At 53.5% G+C, this 22045-nt stretch overlaps 1 protein-coding gene across 1 annotated transcript, besides 2 other annotated features; it reads left to right on the top strand.

The window, feature by feature from the left end:
* Nucleotides 9125-9419: an enhancer, noted in NCBI's record as "tiled region #10024; HepG2 Activating DNase matched - State 4:PromP, and K562 Activating non-DNase unmatched - State 7:EnhWF". NCBI's record gives its function as "activates a minimal TATA promoter and a strong SV40 promoter by Sharpr-MPRA in HepG2 cells, with weaker activation in K562 cells {active_cell/tissue: HepG2 | K562}" and the evidence as "EXISTENCE:reporter gene assay evidence [ECO:0000049][PMID:27701403]".
* SFRP5 (secreted frizzled related protein 5) lies at nt 12252-17500 on the top strand. Its single transcript, NM_003015.3, has 3 exons — nt 12252-12946; nt 14506-14583; nt 16391-17500. The coding sequence occupies exons 1-3, from the start codon at nt 12418-12420 to the stop codon at nt 16735-16737; spliced, it is 954 nt and encodes a 317-aa protein (NP_003006.2). The 5' UTR covers nt 12252-12417; the 3' UTR covers nt 16738-17500.
* Nucleotides 19505-19799: an enhancer, noted in NCBI's record as "tiled region #10521; HepG2 Activating DNase matched - State 5:Enh". NCBI's record gives its function as "activates a minimal TATA promoter and a strong SV40 promoter by Sharpr-MPRA in HepG2 cells {active_cell/tissue: HepG2}" and the evidence as "EXISTENCE:reporter gene assay evidence [ECO:0000049][PMID:27701403]".

Genomic DNA, 22045 nt, shown 5'->3' with positions numbered 1-22045 from the left:
TGGCCCAATCTTAATTCATGGGGCAATAAGAAAAGCATGGCATCTCCGCAGAGTCAGGACTTTGTTCAACTTGGGCTCCATCACTTACTGGCAGAGAGACCTTGAGTAAGTGAACTTAACCTCTCTGAGCCTCAGTTTCCTCATCTGTAAAATAAGGACTGTCCATGCATGCCTCCCTAAGTTGTCATAAGGAAGAAACAAGGTCACAGATGTGACTCCCAAACACACCGTAATGAGCCTTCCTCCCCAGGACCCCAGCAATTCTCAGCCGCTGTTCCCATGGGATCTTTCCTTAAGCACCAACCTCTGGGAAGTCTTAAGACTCAAGTCCTCATTAATAATAATACTAACAGGCTGGGCGTGGTGGCTCACACCTGTAATCCTAGCACTTTGGGAGGCCAAGGCGGGTGGATCATCTGAGGTCAGGAATTTGAGACCAGCGTGGCCAACATGGTGAAACCCCGTCTCAACTAAAACTATAAAAATTAGCCGGGTGTGGTGGCTCACGCCTGTAGTCCCAGCTACTCAGGAGGCTGAGGCACAAGAATCGCTTGAACCCAGGAGGCGGAAGTTGCAGTGAGCCAAGATCATGCCACTGCACTCCAGCCTAGGCAACAGAGTGAGACTTGGTCTCAATAATAATAATAATAATAATAATAATAATAACAATAATAACAGCCCGGCATGGTGAATCACACCCGTAATCCCAGCACCTTGGAAGGCTGAGGTGGGAGGATCCCTTGAGCCCAGGAATTCGAGACCAGCCTAGGCAACATGGGGAGACCAGTCTCTATTTAAAAAAAAAAAAAAACCTCAAGTCCTCATTAATAATAATACTAATGGCCAGGCACAGTGGCTTACGCCTGAAATCCCCATGCTTTGGGGGGTCAAGGCAGGAGGATTACTTGAGCCCAGGAACTGGAGACCAACCTGGACAACATAGTGAGACCTCGTCTCTACAAAAAATAGGAAAACTTAGCAGGGCATGGTGGCGTGTGCTTGTTGTGCCAGCTACTTGGAAGGCTGAGGCAGGAGGATCACTTGAACCCCGGAGCTCAAAGCTATAGTGAGCTGTGATCGTGCTGCTGCACTCCAGCCTGGGCGACAGAGTGAGACCTTGACTCAAAATAGTAATAATAGTACCATGCCAGACTCATTGAAGGGTGATTATGAAAACCCAGACAGAGGCCAGGGCTGGCTGCCCTCCCAGTACCCAGCATGTGTGAAGTCGAGTCAGATCTACCTGGGAGACTCCCCATTCTGTGACCTTGGGCAAGTTACTCAATCACCTCTGAGTTCTCATCTGTAAATGGAGTGGGGGAGGGTGATAATAATAACACCCGTCTCTCGTAGCATTGTCAAGAGGTTTAAATGAGATGATAAGGCACTTAGCCTAGGGCCTGGGCACACTAATGTCTGCCGACACCATCATTAATCATAGCCCTGAGCTGGGCGCTGGAGCAGATAAGGTGGCTGTGAACCCAACTACTTACCCCACACAGAGGGGGACAGGGAAAAGGACTGTGGAGGGGATGCCAGGTTGTGTGCAGCTTCCAGAAGGAAAGAGTTCTCATTTCAGCCTGAAGGAGGCCCACTAGCAGGGCCCTGGAGGGAGGCTGTGGCCGGCTGGGGCAGGGGGAGGCAGCGGTGGAACAAGGAGCAGGCACAGCCCCCTGGGAGGCTAGCACTTCCCATCCTGGTCTGCAGCCCACTGCCTCAAAATTGCCTGGGAGTCACAGGTGTTGAACTGGAATATGTGCAGTGGCCCCGCAATCTAAATATATACTTTAATCAGCTTCTATAGTGATTGCTTTGCAATATAAAGTTTGGGAACCCCTCTCCTCTCCTGGCTGGGGGGTGTGCCCATGTCAGCAGCCTGGTCTCAGCCAGCCTGGTCAAGCCTTGGCCCAGGAGACCAAGGACAATTCACAGCCACAGGAAGTTAATCTCCAAACCCTGTCTGCCCATCCTATCTCTTAGATTAAACAAAAAGACAAAACCCTGCGGCATGTGCCAGGGTAAGGAGTAACAACCGGTACAGCACGGACATTGCCAGTTTCAGCAGATGCCCCATCAATCAGAACAGAACACCCAGAACCGCGCACACAGGGCACAGCCAGCTGCAGAGAGGCCCGGCTGAGGGCCTAGGGAGGGTTCCCACTGGGCCCCCCACCAGCCCTAACCATACTTGCCCCTTTCATCTGTTTTATCTGTCGAGTTCCCACAAGCCACATCGTTTGAAAACAGGATGGCGCTACCCTAAAAACAACAAGAGTGAAAAGCATCGATCTAGCAGTGCATCTCAACAGGGGCTCTATCGGCTCTTGGGGCATGGCAGTTCTTGATCCTGTAGGGCTGTGCTGAACCCAGCAGGAAGTTAGCAGCCCTGGCCCTTCCCCTGAGTGCCAGCCCCAGGGGTCCTGAGGACTGAGCCCATGCCCCACCCCAGGCCGGACAGGCTATCCACTGGGGGAGAGGCACTGCTGTTCATAGCTCAACTCTCTCACTTTACAGGTAAAGCAGCTGAGACCCAAAAGCCAAGCCAGCCGGCCACAGGGCAGCAGGGTAGAGCTGGAAACAGACAGCTCCAGGAAGTGGGCTGAGCCCTGGCCTCAGCGACCAGCCTAAACAGGGCTCAGGTTTCCCAGAAGTGGGCAGAAGGGAAGTGGGGGCCCCTCTTCAGAGAGCCTTGGGTGGGCATCCATACCCCAAACTGCCAACTGGAAGAAGTAGGACTGGGTAACCCCTACTGGGGCCTGAAGGATCAGCAGCCTGCACAGAGGAGCTATTCTGGGACCAGGCAAGGAGGCCAGGACCACCTCGGTGGCCCTAAGGGCAGGCATCCAGCTGTTCCCAGGCCCAGGCCCAGCTCCCTCCCAGCAGAGGACAATTGCTCCATTGGCTGGGGTTAGGGGGAAGAGCCTCAGTCCGCTACTTCCTCACCCTCACTAGCTGTGGCCATGCCGCTTCTCCACACCCTCACCCTCTCCTTAAGGAGGCCATTGTCTGCCCAGGATTCCCTGTCACTCCTGCCCCCACCCCTAACACTCCTGCCCTGGATTTCCCCTCCACAATCCTGCCCCCAGGGTCCTCCCTGGGGGTTCCTCACTTCCTCCCCTGGCGCCCAGCACAAAGTAGCCTGAAGCCTCTCTGACCTATTGTCCCGTGCCAGCAAGTCAGTTCCCCCTCCCAGCCTCTGTTTTTTATATTAATCAGAGATGCAGGGACTGCCAGCCGACTTCTGTTCAGCATGAGAGGAGTTCCATCCTGAGAGCTGTAATTCAGCCAAAAGCAAAGAAGTCTGCTGTTTTGTTTACAGCAAATGAACCCTTCTGTGTTGATTTGGGGAAACATGGAGAATCATTTATGAACCTTTAGTACCGCCTTCACAGCCCCTGGGTGGTCAGGAGAATATAGGAGAGCTTTCAGCTGCAACATTTTATAAATCTGGGGTCCCAAGGGCCCCACATAGCCATAGCCAAGGCAAAGCGGTGGGGGGGCCATGCCGCCCACCTCTTGTGATTGTACAAAACCCTTTGAATACTTAACACTAGCAGTTTTAAGCACTTTCAAGTACCTCTCATTTAATCTTCCAAAAAAATCTACAAAGAAGTTCTTCCTGTCCCTGTTTTGCAGATGAGGAAACTGAGGCACAGGGATTCATGTGCCTGAGTTCCCACAGCCCAGAAGTGGTAGAGGCAAAGCCTAATAGGCATAGGCAGCTCTCACTCTGCATCTGGTGCTCTTTCCAGCTCCCACAAAGAGCAGGCCCTGGGGCGCCTCTCCACCCATCTCCCAGGAAGTCACCCTAGTTGCAATGATAAGCTATTTGCGTATTTGTATATCAGCTGGCTCCCCCTCTACCTCTAGACTGTGAGCTCCCTAAAGGCAACAACCCAGCCAACTGGGTCAAACCTGCTGCAACCTCGGTGACTTGATTATCATGGAAGGGTCTGCTCCCCTAGGGCTGCCTTCCCCAGCATGCCAGTTTGGGTCAGTGTTCAACAGAGTGGCATTACCCCCAGTCACTTCTCATATCCACAGGAGGAAGTCCTGGGTTCAAGTCCTGACTCTGCTGCTTCTTGGCTGTGTGACTCTGGGCAAGTTGCTGACCCTCTCTGAACCTCAATTTTCTCATATAACATGGGGATAATAATGCCTCCCTCACAGTACTATCCGGATGATGAAATGAAATAATATACGGGAGAGCAGGGAACATAATACCAAGCACCTAGGAGGCCCTAAACAAGTATTCATGAAAGGAAGGAGAAAGAGAGGTCGACCCACACTTAGGGAGCATGTCCATCACTCCCCAGTCGGCAGCAAGCACCGCAACTGACGTATCACTCCACTCCACTCGGTCCTCACCAGCTCCCTGCTAGAATTTTCCTGATCTTCCTTGGGCCTCTCAAGAACTCCAACAGGTCCTGAAAAAGGTTCTGGGCTCCCGCCTGAGCCCATCTGGCTCCAAAGATTCCTTCCTTCTACTACTTCCTCCCACCAACTATTCATCCATCCGTTCAGTCATTCATTCACCACACATTTATGGAGCACCCATTATGTGATTGACAGGGGTCTGGGAGCAACTGAGATGAACAAGATGAGGGCATACCCTTGTGGATCTCTCAGTCCAGTGAGAAGCCAGGACGTTGATAAAATAAACACAGTTATATAATGACCAGTGTCATTATATATGCAAAGGGAGCTTCACGCTTCCAGACAGTGCCCAGCAAGGGGACCTGGCCTTGGGTAAGAGCTTTACCCAGAGCCTGGGTAAGAACTTTACCCGAAGAACAGTAAGAGCCACTGAGGGGCTTGAGCTGAAGGGTGAGACCATCAGGTTTGCAGTTTGAAATGATCTTGTTGGCTCTTGCAGAGTGGAAAACTGAGACTGCAGAGGGAGCAGGGAGGATGTGCGGAGAGCAAAAGGAGGGAGAATGCTGGGGGATATCAGAGAAACTGGGAGTGAAGAGCTACAGGATTTGGCGATGGTCTCTAAAGACCACTGTCATGCCCACATTCAATAATATTAACTAACAATTATACAGTGCTTACTGTTCACTGTCCTAAACAATTTTTAAAATTAACTCTAACCTCAACAATTCTCTAAGAAATTATTGTTATTAATATCCCCATTTTACAGATGAGGAAACTGGAGCACAAAGAGGTTAAATAACTTGCCCAAGGTCATGTGGCATTGCTAAAATCAGAACCCAGTCTGGCCCCAGAGTTCACGCTCTTAACCAAAACATTAGACAGCCTCTCCAATGTGCTTCTAACCAGTGTTGCCAACTGGCCACAGCCCAGGGACTCCAGGTGCGCTGGGAACCCAGGCAGAAGAGGAGAGCAGTATTCAGCCTTCTCTCCATCCATAGCCCCAACTAGAGAATGCCAGCAGTGCTCATCCCATCCCACCTGCCTTCATGCTTCAGACGGGCACACTTTGAGCTGGACTCAGCCCCCAGGCCCAAGAGAAGCCTCGCCTCTGCTTTTGTTCCTCAAGCCATGTGAGATCAGGACAAGTCGGAGAGCCTCTCAGTGGCTAGGCTCATGGAAGGGAGGACCGAGGCTGGCCCCCCTCGTCAGTTGATTCAGTTGCCAGTAAGTCTCGCTCAAGCCCCTCTGTAACCAGCCTACCCAGCGATGCTGAGCAGGCCTGCCTGAACTGCCAACCAGAGCACAGGCTGCTCAGCAGGGAGGCCCTGCACAGCTGGGGGCCTCTGGGACAGACTTTGCAACCGACAAAAGCTAAAATGCAGGAAAGTAAAACAACTGGAGGTATGGTAGGAAGAGCTCTAGACTGCGGGCTCAGGAAGGCCAATTTTTAGTTTCCTTTTATAGAAAATGGTGGGGGACCAGGAGGGTGATGCCTGGGGACAGTAGGTGCCTGCCAGCACTGATAGTTTCATTAATTAGACCACTCACCCCAGTTTTTTAATGGGCACTTAATGGCAGCTGCTATGAAGACACCACCCTAGCAGAGGAGCACTGGGATTGTAAAAGGCAGACAACTGGCCGGGCGCGGTGGCTCACACCTGTAATCCCAGCACTTCGGGAGGCCGAGGTGGGCGGATCATGAGGTCAAGAGATCAAGACCATCCTGGCCAACATGGTGAAACCCCGTCTCTACTAAAAATACAAAAATTAGTTGGGCGTGGTGGCACGCGCCTGTAGTCCCAGCTACTCAGGAGGCTGAGGCAGGAGGATCGCTTGAACCCAGGAGGCAGAGGTTGCGGTGAGCCGAGATCGAGTCACTGCACTCCAGTCTGGTAACATAGCGAAACTCCATCTCAAAAAGGAAAAAAAAAAAAAGGCAGACAATTCCAGGAGTCTGAAATAATGACAAGACCCTGTCTTACCACTTCAGTCATCCCAGCCCTCCTGGGGGCCCAAGCAAGCCTGTCCTGGCAAGGCCTCCTCATAGCCCGGGACAGGGGAGGCAACAGCGAACCTGGGGGCCTCCTTCCATTCCTCAGCCCCACCTCCATCATCATCCCAAGCCCCTTCCATTATCTCACTGGATCCTCAAGATAAACCCACAGAGAATGCAGGGCAATGTGGTCCCCGCCACCGCACAGATGAGGCAACTGAGACTCAGGGTCTCAGTAAATTAAAAGGTAATTAAATTACTTTTGCTAGTAAATTAAAAAGGTGTAACTCAGGATCTTTTGAATCCCAGCTTGGTGTACTCCCCACTGCCCCACACTGCCTCTCCTGGGGGCCTTGTCAGGAGGCATAAACAGGGCAGATCTCCTGGCTGGCGGATCTGCTGCAGCACTGACCACAGAGCTACTACACAGGGCACTCTGCAGGGTGCTGCTGTCACTCATTATCTCAGGAAGCCTTCAGCAACCAGCACTACCAGTACATAGATGCTATTAACTCTATTTTACAGATAAAGAAACTGAGGTTCAAGGTCCAACATACACAGGCCCAAGGACACACCACTAGGAAGTGCTCAGAATTCAGCACAGGTCAGTCTGACTCCAAAGCCTAGACTATGCCTGCCGCACCACATACGCTGCCTTCCCGTGCCTGTGTACTCCACACCAACAAGGACCAAGTCTCTTTCACATCCATACCTGGCCCATAGCAGGTTCTATTTAAGTGTTGGTTCATGAAATCATTATTCTTAAGGCCTAAGGCATTAAAAGAAACAAAAAAGGATATTTCATACAGATAGAAGTTACAATTCAACCAGAAGCTATAATAATCATGAAGCTTTTATACACCTGACAACATAGCATTAAGGTATATAAAGCAAAAATTGATTTTAAAAAAAGGAAAAATTGCCAAACCCATATGCACAATAGATTTCATACACCTCTATCAGAAATGCACAGATTAAGTAGCCCAGCAGTTCTCAAACATTTTGGTCTCAGAACCTCCTTGCACTCTTAAAAATTGAGACCCCAGGCTGGGCACGGTGGCTCACACCTGTAATCCCAGCAGTTTGGGAGGCTGAGGTGGGTGGATCACCTGAGGTCAGGAGTTTGAGACCAGCCTGGCCAACCAACATGGTGAAATCCTGTCTCTACTAAAAATACAAAAATTAGCCGGACATGGTGGCATGCACCTGTAATCCCAGCTACTCGGGAGGCTGAAGTGGGAGAATCACTTGAACCCAGGAGGCAGAGGTTGCAGTGAGCTGAGACTGCGCCACTACACTCCAGCCTGGGTGACAGAGCGAGACTCCTTCTCAAAAAAGAAAAAAATTGAGAATCCCAAAGAGATTTTGTTTACGTGGGTTTATACCTATCATTATTCACCATATTTGGAATTAATAATGAGGAAAAAGTTAAATGCATTAATGCTTTAAAATAATAAATGTTTATATGTTAATATAAATTTTTATGAAAAATAATTGTATTTTTCAAAACAAAAAATAATTTTAGTGAGAAGAGTGACATTGTTTTACATTTTTGCAAATCTCTTTAATGTCTGGCTTAACAGAAGCCAGCAGATTCTCATATATGCTTCCGCATTCAGTCTGTTGCCATATGTTGTTTTGGTTGAAGTATATGAAGAAAATTTGGCCTCACACATAAATGTAGTTGGAAAAGGGAGGAGTATTTTGATGGCCTTTTCAGTTAATTGTGAGTATGCTTCTTTGATACTACCCCAAAGACTGACATGTGTAGTTTCTTTCTTTTTTTTTTTCTTGAGACAGGGTGTCGCTCTGTCACCCAGGCTGGAGTGCAGTGGCGTGATCTTGGCTCACTGCAACCTCCACTGCCTCCCCTCAACAAACCCCACTCCCCAACCCCCACTCAAGTGTCGATCCTCCCACCTCAGGCTCCTGAATAGCTGGGACCACAGGCACACACCACCATGCCTGGATATTTTTTTGTATTTTTAGTAGAAACAGAGTCTCACCATGTTGCCCAGGCTGGTCTCAAAACTCCTGGGCTCAAGCAACCCACCCACCTCGGTCTCCCAAAGTGCTGGGAATACAGGCATGAGCCACCGCGCCTGGCCTGACATGTGTAGTTTCTTAAATGTAATGCAGAATCTGAAACCATATCAATAAGCTTCTCTTACCCAATTACCTTAAAATCCATTGGACTATCTTGTACCTTGAATGGGCATTTGAATTATGTACAGTTTTGACCCTGTATACCCCTCCGGAAAGAGTCTCGGGGTCCCCCTGGGGAACACTGACCATACTTTGAGAACCATTGAAATAGACAATAAAAGAGTGAAAAAATGTAGAATTTGATAACATAATTAGCAAGTTTGATCTAAGAGGTATTTATATAGAACTTTGCTCACAACAAACTACGAATACACATTTTTTTGAACAAATGGTCCCCTTTATCAGCTGGGGGAAAGGTCTGGACAGGCTGTGGATGCTCCAAGATGGACAGATGCCCGGCACAGTGCCCAGGTGTTCCACCTGCTGCTTAGGCCCTGGTTCGGCCTCAGCAAGAAGGGGCACTACATCAGAGAGCAGCCTTCTCCTGCCCAGGCTGCAGAACCAGGTCAAATGGCCACAGAGAGAGAGCTCCCCTGACAACAGCCCCATGGTGCAGCCCTCACCTCGGCTTGGTTCCTGTCAAGTTTCCCTCCTTGCATTCACCCTGTCCCGTGTCAGGGGCCCCCGGGGGTCCCCACGACAGAGCTGCCAGGTAAAGAGTGTCCATGCTCCTCTTCCAGGAGGCTTTCAGCCAGTCCCCTCTGCCCGTTACAGCCCTCGGAGCTGTCAGGTGTGGACTCACAGCTCTCTGATCATGCGCAGTTCTTACATAACCACCAGTAGAAACAAAGCCCTGCTCTGTCCAGGCCAGGTACTGGGACGCCAAGAACAGCACAGCCGACCAGCTGCCCAAGGAGGCAGCACTTTGCACAACCACCTGGGAGGCTCTAACACACCGTCAGTGCCCAAGGCCATACCTTCCCTGGAGGGCAGGAGCCTGCCAAGCCTGGAGGGGTGGGAGAGTCAGGGTGCAGGGGCAGAACTGCTGTTCAGAGCCCCAAACCAGAGCCAGAACCAAGGCATCCAAGGGCTTTCAGAACACACACCACTTTCTTTCTTTTTTTTTTTTTTTTTTTGAGACGGAGTCTTGCTCTGTCTCCCAGGCTGGAGTGCAGTGGCATGATCTCAGCTCACTGCAACCTCCTCCTCCTGGGTTCAAGCAATTTTCCTGCCTCAGCCTCCTGAGTAGCTGGGATTACAGGCACGCACCACCACGCCCGGCTAAGTTTTGTATTTTTAGTAGAGACAGGATTTCACCATGTTGGCCAGGCTGGTCTCAAACTCCTGACCTCAGGTGATCTGCCCACCTCGGCCTCCCAAAGTGCTGGGATTACAGGCATGAGCCACCATGCCCAGCCACCACTTTCTTTTTTTAAGAGACAGGGTCTTGCTCTGTTGCCCAGGCTGGAGTGCAATGGTGCAATCACAGCTCACTGTAACCTCGAACTCCTGAACTCAAGCAGTTCTCCCACCTCAGCCTCCAGAGTAGCTGGGATTGCAGGCGCATGCCACCATACCCAGTTAACTTTTCTAATTTTTGTAGAGATGGAGTCTTGCTGTGTTGCCCAGGCTGGTCTCAAACTCCAGGGCTCAAGCGATCCTCTCACCTCAGCCTCCCAAAGTGCTGGGATTTACGGGCGAGAACAACTGCACCCAGCCCATACAGCACATTTTTACCTCAAAGTCACACGTCCCTTGGGGATCTAACATTCCTAGGTGTTCATTCTGTGTGTTGGCACTGTGCAGGGGGCTTTCTTTCCATTCACCTTATTTGCTTCTCACAGTAACTGCTGAAGAAATTCCATTTTACAAAGAAGGAAATGAGGTTAAGTACTTGCCCAAGGTCATACAGCTAATATGTGGCCAGGATCTGAACCTGGCTCCATCGTCTGCAGAGCCCAGGCTCTCGCACCATTGCTACACTGCACTGCCTGGCCCTGCAGAGACCAGTCCTTCACCTTCTGAGTGGCCATCTGCATAACCTCTTCATGCTGGGGGCTGGGAGAGGGAGAGGGGAAAAGAAGGCCAAAGTTTACTCTACCTGGACCCCACTAGGTCATCCTGGACATCAAACACGGCTTGTCCCACCCTTGGGGCTCAGTGAGATGAGGCTTCTCCTGCCTCCTCTGCCTGCCTTGTATCTTTTTCTTACAACTAGATCAGAAGGAACAGAGCCATGTCTTTTGCACCTCTGTGTCCCCATGCATACCCTACCCCATGCCTTGCAGATAGTAGGTACTCTATGCATTTTCTGTGAATATTAAGGAGTGGCCCCTCACCCCTCTCCACTACCACTGCAAGGACAGACCCAGAGGAAGACAGGAGCCCTGGAAACATCCATTAGTGGGACTAAGGGGAGGAGCAGAGGGGGAAAGTGCCCAGTACTCCTGCCTTCCAGCAGAGCCAGCCCCCAGCTCCCCACGCCCTCCTAGGAGACACCTCCCCAAGGTACCCTCCCCACCAAAGACTGGGAGGTCAGGTGTCAGGCTAGGCTCTCAGGAAGGAATTCCCCTCCCTTCAAGCCTCCAGTCCAAATTCCTCTCAAGGGAGAGCCAATGAAAGGCAGGACTCAGACAGGAGAGAAAGACACCAAGCATGGGGCTCCTGAAGGTCCCCTCCCCTCTGATGCTTGCCTGGGTGCCCTGCTCAGACACACCATCAATTCCCCCTCTTCCCACTGTGTTCCCTACCATGGGTTGGAAGTTATCTTACCACAGAGTGGTTAAGCCCTGGCCTTTGTAGCCCAACATCTGGATTCAAATCCTAGCTCCTTCACATATGAGCTGTGTGGCCAAGGGCCAGTTACTCCACTTCTCTGAACTCCCTATCCCCTTGGTCATTAGGCCTACAGACTCAGAATCCAGGCCTCCTGGTTGTTTCTGGGCTCTGACTCTCGAAAAAGACTATCTGGGTTCAAATCCCAGCTCTAATCTGTGCTTAACCTCTCTGCCGCAGGATCTTTATCTGTAAGGTGGGGACAATAATAGTACCTACCCACCATCTAGCCTTATTGTGAGAATTAGCTGAGGGAGTTTATGCAATGTGCTCAGATCAGACTTGGCACACAATTAGCACCCACTAAGTATTGGCTATCATTAGCAATAGCTGATAAGCTTGGAACGTACCTTGCACCGCACCTTGCACCGCACCTTGCACCTTGCACCGTCCCTGGCAGGTAGTAAGAGCTCACTAAATAGAAGCTATGATTACCTTCACCCCCACTAGACTATCCTGGCCCTGGAGGTGGGTTCTGGGTCATATCCATCTTTGATTCCCCAGCAGCCAGCATGGGGCCTGGCACCAAGCTCAATGAAGACCTGCCAGGAGGACCAGAAGATCCAGGGTGTGGGGTGGCACGAGCCTCCCACCAGGGAGAAGAGGAACCGAGGTGTCGGGGAAGAGAAAACAGAGCAGAGGGAGAAAAGCCAAGGCAGAGAGATAAGCAAGTGAAGTGAGTGAGAAAAGGAACAGGAGAGGCTGTGGCGGAGAGAGATAAGGAGGAAGGATGGAGAAGGCGAGGGTCGAGGAAAATGCCCAGGGAGGCAGGGAGCCCTGGGGAGAAACGCTGGGCGAGGCCAGGGCTGCGGCAGGGGAGCCGAGCCGGGAGAGGGGCGCAAGACCTGGCGCTGGGCGGGACGCTCGGGCAGGGTGCGGGAGGGGCTGAGGGCCGCCCCCACTGCCTCCCCGCCTTGGAGCTGGGGCCAGGCGGCCGGAGATTGGCTGGGGCGCACGGCGAGGCCCGGGCTGGAGCCCCGAGGTGGGAGGCGCCAGGATCAGTCGGGGCGCCCGCAGCGCAGGCTGCCACCCACCTGGGCGACCTCCGCGGCGGCGGCGGCGGCGGCTGGGTAGAGTCAGGGCCGGGGGCGCACGCCGGAACACCTGGGCCGCCGGGCACCGAGCGTCGGGGGGCTGCGCGGCGCGCACCTGGAGAGGGCGCAGCCATGCGGGCGGCGGCGGCGGGGGGGGGCGTGCGGACGGCCGCGCTGGCGCTGCTGCTGGGGGCGCTGCACTGGGCGCCGGCGCGCTGCGAGGAGTACGACTACTATGGCTGGCAGGCCGAGCCGCTGCACGGCCGCTCCTACTCCAAGCCGCCGCAGTGCCTTGACATCCCTGCCGACCTGCCGCTCTGCCACACGGTGGGCTACAAGCGCATGCGGCTGCCCAACCTGCTGGAGCACGAGAGCCTGGCCGAAGTGAAGCAGCAGGCGAGCAGCTGGCTGCCGCTGCTGGCCAAGCGCTGCCACTCGGATACGCAGGTCTTCCTGTGCTCGCTCTTTGCGCCCGTCTGTCTCGACCGGCCCATCTACCCGTGCCGCTCGCTGTGCGAGGCCGTGCGCGCCGGCTGCGCGCCGCTCATGGAGGCCTACGGCTTCCCCTGGCCTGAGATGCTGCACTGCCACAAGTTCCCCCTGGACAACGACCTCTGCATCGCCGTGCAGTTCGGGCACCTGCCCGCCACCGCGCCTCCAGGTAGCGCCGCCGCCGCCGTCCCCGCGCGCTCCGACGGCCCTGCAGCTCCCCTAGCACAGCTCTGCGAACCCCCCAAGAGGTGCAGCTCCCCCCCTCCGCCCACACACACACACACACGCTGTCCTAGCTCAGCCCAGCGTCCCCGGAATTATCCCCCGCAGCCTTCCCGCCTTCCCACCTCCCCAGGGAGTGGCAGCATAGTGCCTCCCGGCGGCTCCAGACCTTCCCTCTGGCTCTCGTTCCCTGGAAACCCCTGGCACCCCTCTCAGTACCCATCCAACCAAGCTGCTGAGAATCCCCCAATGCCGTCCCCCCAATCCTGGGACGTCCTGATAAATGCCTTATGACCCCTCTCAGCCCAAGAATGCCTGGGGTCGTTAAACAATGCCTTTCACCTGGATCCCGAGGCACCAAAGCAAGCATCATCCCCACTCCGTGTTGGGACCTTGGGAAGAGAGGAGAGGTGAGGGAAGGGATGTGGAGAAAGACTGGGGACTAAGAATGTTCTGGACTATGATCTGCGTCCCCGTTTTCTGTACCTGGAACCCTAAGATCTCCACCCTCTTCCCCAGTTCCCCTGGCTGGGAGTCATTCGGGTAAGGCTCAGTGCGGAAGGAAGAGCAGATTAGGCTCTGCCCCTGAAGAGAAGCCCTTAGGCAAGTTGCTTGACTTCACTGAGCCTCAGTTTCCCCATCCATAAAATAGGAAGCCATCCCAGGCTCATGAAACCTATGAGGTCCTAAGTCCCTCCTCCCACCCACCCCTCAGTCCCCTGAACCCTAATTTCTCCCTGGTCTCAGCCTCCCCTTTTCTGTGCTGGTCCACATAGCTCTTCCAGGCTGGCTCCATGCCCTCTCCCCCTTCCTCCCCGTCTGCTGTCAGACTTGAGTAACCGCTCTGGGCCTCGGTTCCCTTTTCTCCAAAATAGGAGTAAGGGCTGGGCGCAGTGGTTCACACTTGTAATCCCAGCACTTTGGGAGGCCAAGGTGGGTGAATCACTTGAGGTCAGGAGTTCTAGACCAGCCTGGCCAACATGGTGAAACCCCGTCTCTACTGAAAATACAAAAATTAGCCGAGCGTGGTGGCACACGCCTGTAATCTCAGCTACTCGGGAGGCTGAGACAGAAGAATCGCTTAAACCTGGGAGGCAGAGGTTGCAGTAAGCTGAGATTAGAGAGCCACTGCACTCCAGCCTGGGTGACAGAGCGAGACTACATCTCAAAAATAAAATAGGAATAAGAATCCCTATTTCATAGGCTGAGGATGAGAGGAGATAAAATTTAAAAGACAATGCACATCATGGCTGCAGCCGCCAGGGTCATGGGGCAGTCACTGTGCCCACCTGGCAGTTTTGTCACTGCACAGCCTGTCTGGTGATTGTCAATCACTCTGTGAGCAGGTAGTGATATGATTGCCATCATCCCATCTCCTGATAAGGAAGTAGAGGCTTGGCAAGGGGAAGTGGCTGGTCAGTGAGGAAGCCTGCACCCCAAGTGGCTCTTGGAACTCCAATCCCCTCACCAACTGTCCCCCAACCCCACCCCACTTTCTCTCTTCAGTGACCAAGATCTGCGCCCAGTGTGAGATGGAGCACAGTGCTGACGGCCTCATGGAGCAGATGTGCTCCAGTGACTTTGGTGAGTGTGGGGCCCACGCTGCCACTGCCCCGACATCACCCCCAGCCCCTCTTTCTTGACGCACACGGGAACATACATGCCCACATCCATCACAGTGAATCCCAACAGTTTTTGCATCATGGCTCCCGTTTAGAAGCCAATTATAACCATAAACCCTTTCCCAAGAGAAATGCACCTCTTTCTGCATCATCTCAGGACCATCACAAGTCCCCTAAGGCCATGGGCCTTGGGCCTCAGAAACCACCCCGGCCAGGGCTCCCACAGCCCTCCCTTGGTGTCATTTTCAGAGGGCCCTCCATGACTGGATCATCTCTGTGGATAGTGCAGGCTTAGCCCAGAGATGGATGGAGCCAGGTGGGGAGTGATGGCTCTAGGATGGAAGTGGAGCACCCTTGTCCATGGGTACCTCCACCTGGGACTCAGCACACCTCCTGCCAGCGGAGCTGTGGTCACCTGTCCCCACAGCTTCATCCCAGAGCCTTCCCATTTTCTGGGACAATCCAGCCAAGTCCGGTCAGGACCTGGCTCACACATGGGCCACGCAGTCCAGTGTGTGATCTTTGCCAAGTCAGTTCCCTGTTTTGTGTCTTAGCCTCCCTGTCTATAAAAAAAGAAAAAAGGAGATGATAATGAAGTCCTTTCTTCAGAGGAGTCTTTTATGTTGGTAGCCTGTTTGGAAAGAGAATACTGCTATTGCAAGGGGTGTATGTGTGTGTCAGAGAGAGAAAGAGAGGGGGAAGGGGACATAAAGAGAAGGAACAAGATTTTATGACAATTTCCTGCCAAGAGTGGGCAGTTATTCTCTGACTTCTCCCTGGCCCCACAGAGATGGGGGCCCAGAAGCCTGAAGAAGGGAGAGACCAGCCCGAGGGACTCCCCACCCCACCCTGAGGCCCAGGACTCCTTAGGCTCTCTACGTCCACTGTAGGGTGACCTGCACCATGGCTCTCTGGGCACAGACCCTGCCTTCATCCTAGCCCCCCAAAGGAAAGGAGTTAGGGTCTCAGTGCCTCCAGCCACACCCCCTGCCCCACTCCTAAACATAGCACAAACACACTCCCACCCACCGTACAATCTCTCTCTCACACACATACACATTACTGTACAGTGGTGTGTTCACACCAGCAACAGCTGAACTGTGTGTATCTATTCCCAGCTCCACACCCAGTCATGCGGTCAGTTATGGTGGGAGTATTTACCCCATGGATGTCAATGAATGCAAAGCAGGGCTCCCTGTCCACAGAGCCGGCTGTTAAATATTTGCCAGCCCACCACTGTTCCAACCACACTCACCGTGTGTGCATGCACACACATATACACACCCCATATATACTCCATACCATACACTCACACACAGCCAGAAATCCCAGTGGGAATCATCCCCAGAGATCAGGAAGTCCAGCTTCCCTCCATCACAAGGATCCCCTTCCAAGCAGTCGGCCCCAGTCCCATCCACTCCTTATCCCCTCCCTGGGGAGCCCCACATGCTGCTCCATCAAGAGCTCTCCACCCTGCCTTTGGTGTCTCAGAAGGGCTTGGACTCTCGATTCACGCAGGTCACAAGCTCTCTACCCCTCAATTCCCCTCTTCTGTACCTTGAGGATGAAACGTGATGCTGTCCTTGAGAGTGCAGCATGATAAGTGCTTCATAAATATGAAAATGTGCCCTACGAGCTCCACCCTTCCAAGCCCCGCAGGGCATCAGGCTCCCCCAGCCCGAAGGTCCAGAACACACCAACTCTGTGCCCACCAGCATCCCACACAGATCTGACCATTCCCAACTTGCCCCTGTCCTTTCTTCCCACAGTGGTCAAAATGCGCATCAAGGAGATCAAGATAGAGAATGGGGACCGGAAGCTGATTGGAGCCCAGAAAAAGAAGAAGCTGCTCAAGCCGGGCCCCCTGAAGCGCAAGGACACCAAGCGGCTGGTGCTGCACATGAAGAATGGCGCGGGCTGCCCCTGCCCACAGCTGGACAGCCTGGCGGGCAGCTTCCTGGTCATGGGCCGCAAAGTGGATGGACAGCTGCTGCTCATGGCCGTCTACCGCTGGGACAAGAAGAATAAGGAGATGAAGTTTGCAGTCAAATTCATGTTCTCCTACCCCTGCTCCCTCTACTACCCTTTCTTCTACGGGGCGGCAGAGCCCCACTGAAGGGCACTCCTCCTTGCCCTGCCAGCTGTGCCTTGCTTGCCCTCTGGCCCCGCCCCAACTTCCAGGCTGACCCGGCCCTACTGGAGGGTGTTTTCACGAATGTTGTTACTGGCACAAGGCCTAAGGGATGGGCACGGAGCCCAGGCTGTCCTTTTTGACCCAGGGGTCCTGGGGTCCCTGGGATGTTGGGCTTCCTCTCTCAGGAGCAGGGCTTCTTCATCTGGGTGAAGACCTCAGGGTCTCAGAAAGTAGGCAGGGGAGGAGAGGGTAAGGGAAAGGTGGAGGGGCTCAGGGCACCCTGAGGCGGAGGTTTCAGAGTAGAAGGTGGTGTCAGCTCCAGCTCCCCTCTGTCGGTGGTGGGGCCTCACCTTGAAGAGGGAAGTCTCAATATTAGGCTAAGCTATTTGGGAAAGTTCTCCCCACCGCCCCTGTACGCGTCATCCTAGCCCCCCTTAGGAAAGGAGTTAGGGTCTCAGTGCCTCCAGCCACACCCCCTGCCTTCCCCAGCTTGCCCATTTCCCTGCCCCAAGGCCCAGAGCTCCCCCCAGACTGGAGAGCAAGCCCAGCCCAGCCTCGGCATAGACCCCCTTCTGGTCCGCCCGCGGCTCGATTCCCGGGATTCATTCCTCAGCCTCTGCTTCTCCCTTTTATCCCAATAAGTTATTGCTACTGCTGTGAGGCCATAGGTACTAGACAACCAATACATGCAGGGTTGGGTTTTCTAATTTTTTTAACTTTTTAATTAAATCAAAGAAAACAATAACTGGTTTGGACCAGGTGGTTTCTTTGTCAGCTGGTTCCCAAGAGGTGGGGGGAGAGGGAGGTTTAGAATGGAGCTTCAAAAAGAAGCCCTTATCTTAACCCATGGCCTGGCCACATAGACCTCCTTGGAATGCCTAAGAAAAGCAAGGCCTGTGTTTTTGTAGTACATAGCAAGGGTCACCCTGTCATTCTGACCGCTAAGTGAGGGATGGAGATGGCCGTTCTTTTGTCCCTGAGGAGGAATGGAGGTGCCAAGTTCCCAGCTTCTCCCACAGTCAGAAGACTCCCATGGTCCTGCAGCAGCTCCCCGAGGAGGTCAGGGCCTGATCAGAGGAGTCCAAGAAGGTGGGGCCACAGGGAACTATCGTGAAAAGCCTGAGGCCGAAGACGTGTCACTCCTCCCCTTCGGCTTTCACACACCGCGGGCACTGCTCCTTACCTGTCCCTGGTCCAGCAGCATGAGCATCACCTGGGAGCTGGTTAGAAAGACAGCATCTGGCCGGGGGTGCGGTCGCTCATGCCCATAATTCCAGCAGCTTGGGAGGCTGAAGCGGGAGGATCCCTTAAGCCCAGGAGTTCAAGACCAGCCTGGGCAACACAGTGAGACCCTAACTCAACAACAACAACAAAGAAATGCAGACCTGCTGTATCTGAATCTGCATTTGAACACATAAACATTAGAATCATCTAGGGAGCTTTTATAGAATCCTGCACCCTACTCTAATGCAATTAAATCAGAATCTCTATAGGGTGTTCAGGAGTTGGTGTTTTTAGATGCTCCCTGGGGTGATGTGTAGCCAGGATTGAGAACTACTATCTAGATAAGGTGACAACTGAGACAGGGAGAGGGCAAGGGGCTGAGGGGGTGCCCCAGTGGGCTCAGAGCAGATGGGGGCTGCTGCCTTGAGGTAGATGGACAGGGAGGGGAGACAGCTTGGGAGGCGAGAAGCCACCCCCACTCTAATGGGCAGACTATGGACAGGGCAGTGCCAGGAAGGAGCTCCCTGGGGGGGTCTGTCAGCAGATGCCAGATGTACCTAGAGCAGGGGGCTAGGGGCACCCCCTGAGGGGCTCTCCCCACCGGTGGGGGTAAAGCTGGGATGCTGTCCAGTCAAGGCCTGGTGTTCCTCCAAGACAAAGGAGCCTCATTCTCTGGAACTGAGGAAAGCCTTGGCTTCCGCTCCCAGAGGTGAACGTCACCTCAGGGAAATGACTCCAGAGGGGCCAGGGGCTGAGTTCTTCTGTGGGCCATGAGCGCACATTCGCCTGAGGTCTGGCTAGCAGGTGGTCCGACAGCGCGCCCATAAATCACCCCGGGCAGGCAGGTGGCCTCGCCGCAGGTCAACAGCTGCACAGGCCGCCTTGCTCCTCCCTCACCCATCCGCGCCCAAACCCTGCCCAGTGCACCTGGCTCCCTGAATCTGCGCCTTGTCTCCCAGCCTCCTACCCTGACCAAATGTTTACGGACACTTCTGTGGTCAACCAGGACCAGGGATGATTTTCCATGGCACACACAGGACTGGGTCTGCCCTGGCTGAAGTACTACACTGACTTCTGCCAGATGCTGGCAGCTGTGGGGCAGCAGGGCGAGGGGAGGACTCCCTTAGCCCATCCCGTGAAGCCCAGGAAGGCACTCCTCTACCCCCACAAGGGGTCAGGGCCCAGCTTGAAACATCTGCTGTCCCCCAACATCTGCTGTCAGACTCGCCAAGAATCTCTTTTCTGGGACCAAGAAGAATCTTCCCAAAGACCAGGGAGGTCCTTCCAGGCTTGAGCCCCACCCTTCATTCCCTTCAGTCACACAAGACTCCCTCCCGCTGGCTGGAGACCCAGCAGCTGTGCTGCCCCAAGAGCACCTGGGTGCAGTGAACGATGCGGCCCCCAACCACACATAACAGAAACCCCAGGAACCGAAACCCCAGCTTCTCCACACAAGAGGGGTGGAGGTGGACAGGTGGGAGGTCTATGTCCAACTGCCTTCCTGCTCTGCCATGGGGTGACGTTTGCTCTCGTGGTTATAGACAATGCCTCCTTCCAACTTCTCCACCACATTCCAGACAGCAAGGCGGGGAAGGGCGAGGAGCACAGCTTGTCAGCTGCCTCTGGCCCCTTTGATCAGGAAAACAGAAATTTCCCCAGCAATCCCACCTAGTAGATTTCCACTTCTAGCTCACTGGCCAAAACTAAGTCACATGGCCACCCCTAGGTGCAAGACAGCAAAGGAAGTCAAGCTTTTTCAGCTGGGGACAAAATCAGAGTTCTAATAAAGAACAGGACAGACAGGGGAGGAGGCAGCTGAACACTCCGTGTTGGGGTGAGAAGAGGCAGATACAGTCCAGTCCTGGCTTCTAATCCTGTGACTTAGTGACTGCGTGACATCGGGAATAGTGCCCAGCTGTAAAATGGAGTAAAAATGTCTATTTCACAGGGTTGCTGAGGGTTAAGTGGGAAAATGCATGAAAAGTACAACGCACAGCATGTAGATGTCCATTAAATGGTAATGACTATTTTTATTAACCAAAAGCCATGACCTAGCAGTGCCTGTCCATAATAGGTGCTCAGTAAAATTCCTAATTGATTGATTAATCAACTAAGAAACAATATCGGCAGGAAGGCAGGGAAAAGACAAGAGTATCTTATCTAAAAGCCAGAACGCTACTTTCAGAAGAGAGCTAGAACCTACATTTGGGGTTTTGCTTCAGAAATACAGGTGGTGGTGTAAGCCAGTATCAAGCCAATATCAATAAATATCAAGGCCATGATGGGTGGCAGGCACTACTCAAAACTTTTGCATATGATCTTTTCTCTTTTTTCTTTTTTTTTTTTCTTTTTTTTTTTTTTTTTGCCTGGGCTAAACACAGTATTACAATCGTGGCTCACTGCAGTCTCAACCTGCCAGGCTCAAGCAATCCCACTGCCTCAGCCTCCCAAGTAGCTGGGACCACAGGAGCATGCCACTATGCCCGGCTAATCTCTTATTTTTCTTAGAGTTGAAGTCTCATTATGTTGCCCAGGCTGCTCTCAAACTCCTGGACACAAGCAATCCTCCCTCCTTGTCCTCCCAAAGTGCTGGGATTACAGGCATGAGCCACTGTGCCTCACCCAGCTTTTGCATTCTAATTTAAGCCTCCCAACAGCCATTTGAGGTAGTGGCATTTCAGTGATGGTGGCTGAGGCTCAAAGAGGTTAAGGAACTTGTTGGAGGTCACACAGCTTGCACATGGCAGTGCTAGAATTTGACTTCATGCTCTTAACCACTATACTACTATCGGTAGGGGCAAAGCCAAGGCTCAGGGGTGCAGGCAGCCATGCTTCTGCCAGCCTGCCTCACAGGAAGATTTCTGGGAGCCCTGTTCCAATCCCACTCCAAGGGTCCTGACAGAGGCAGAGGAGCCAGTGGCTTTTCTCCTAATTCCCAAAGACAGCCCACCCCCAACCCCTTCTCCCCTCTCAGCCCTGCCAGCATCCAGCCTTAGGTCTCCACAAAGGAAGCTCACATCCCACAACTGTTTAGTCGCCTGTAATCCTGGCTGAAGTTCACTCCTGGGGAAATGTAACATGGGGGGGTGGTTGCTGCTGGAATGTGTGTGGCTGGGACCCCATGTCCCAGCCCAGACAGCAGGCTCTGCTGGGGCTGTGAAGAACACAGGCAGCCAGGGGAATCCGGAATCCCCAGCCCCCAGCTGTGCCAGAGAATGGAATGTGCTGCTCTGGGGTGTTGAAACATACCCGACCAGGCCGGAGGTGGGGTTGCTGGGAGCTGGGGGAGCTCCGGCCACAAGGCTGCCTCTGTTCTTGTGGCTGAGCCCATTTCGCTAGGGCTGGGGGTGGGAGGGAGGAGAGGAGAGAGGCCATGCTTAGTGGGTAGGCCTTCTTGTTAGCTCAGTGGCTAGCTCCTGGAGCCAGTGGGGGCCAGGCAGAAAGAGGGGGAGGGTGGCACCCAGGATTGCTCTGTTCCTCCAAAGGTTCTCTTATGAGGCCCCTGCAAGCTCATGTGGCATAATTCACATCCCGGCTCCACGACTTACTAGCTATGTGACCTTGGGCAGGTTCCCTAACCTCCCCACACCTCCTTTTACTCGTCAGTTAAACAGAGTTAACAACAGAACCTACTTTTGGAGATTGTCATGAGGTCTCGATGAGATGATGCACTCAGCATGGTGCCTGGCACAGGTGCTCCATCAATGTAGGTGTTATCCTGAGGGCCACCAGCTGTAAGACAGATGCTGGGCCAGGGCCTCTCTTAGGGGGTGCCTCAAAGGTTCCAGGGAGACAAGGGGATGAAGACAGAACTTCATATGGCTTCAGCCCCGAGGGCTGAAAATCCTGAAGATCCCAGAAACCACTGCCAGCTCAAGGTCGGCCATGGCTCACGGGAGGCTGCTCAACACAACCAACCACAAAAAGGATTGGCAGAGCCCTCAGCCCACGCCAGGCTGTGGGAGCTGGAGCCCCAGACCTGCCCCAGCAGGCACGAGGGCTGCAGCAGTCTGGTTCCCCATCCCCTCCTCAGGGGCCTGAGAACAAATTGGTTTTTTTTTCAAAC

This window comes from Homo sapiens, chromosome 10 (assembly GCF_000001405.40).
Source record: "Homo sapiens chromosome 10, GRCh38.p14 Primary Assembly".
In the NCBI taxonomy this organism is placed as follows: domain Eukaryota; kingdom Metazoa; phylum Chordata; class Mammalia; order Primates; family Hominidae; genus Homo; species Homo sapiens.
This window is presented reverse-complemented; position numbering and strand designations above follow the sequence as displayed.

Excerpts from the sequence above, each read along its gene's own strand:
- SFRP5 (NM_003015.3), top strand. The coding sequence starts at position 12,418 with ATGCGGGCGGCGGCGGCGGGGGGGGGCGTGCGGACGGCCGCGCTGGCG. Across the intron at positions 12,947-14,505 it reads GCCCGCCACCGCGCCTCCAG|TGACCAAGATCTGCGCCCAG; the intron begins GTAGCGCCGCCG and ends TTCTCTCTTCAG. Across the intron at positions 14,584-16,390 it reads GATGTGCTCCAGTGACTTTG|TGGTCAAAATGCGCATCAAG; the intron begins GTGAGTGTGGGG and ends TTCTTCCCACAG.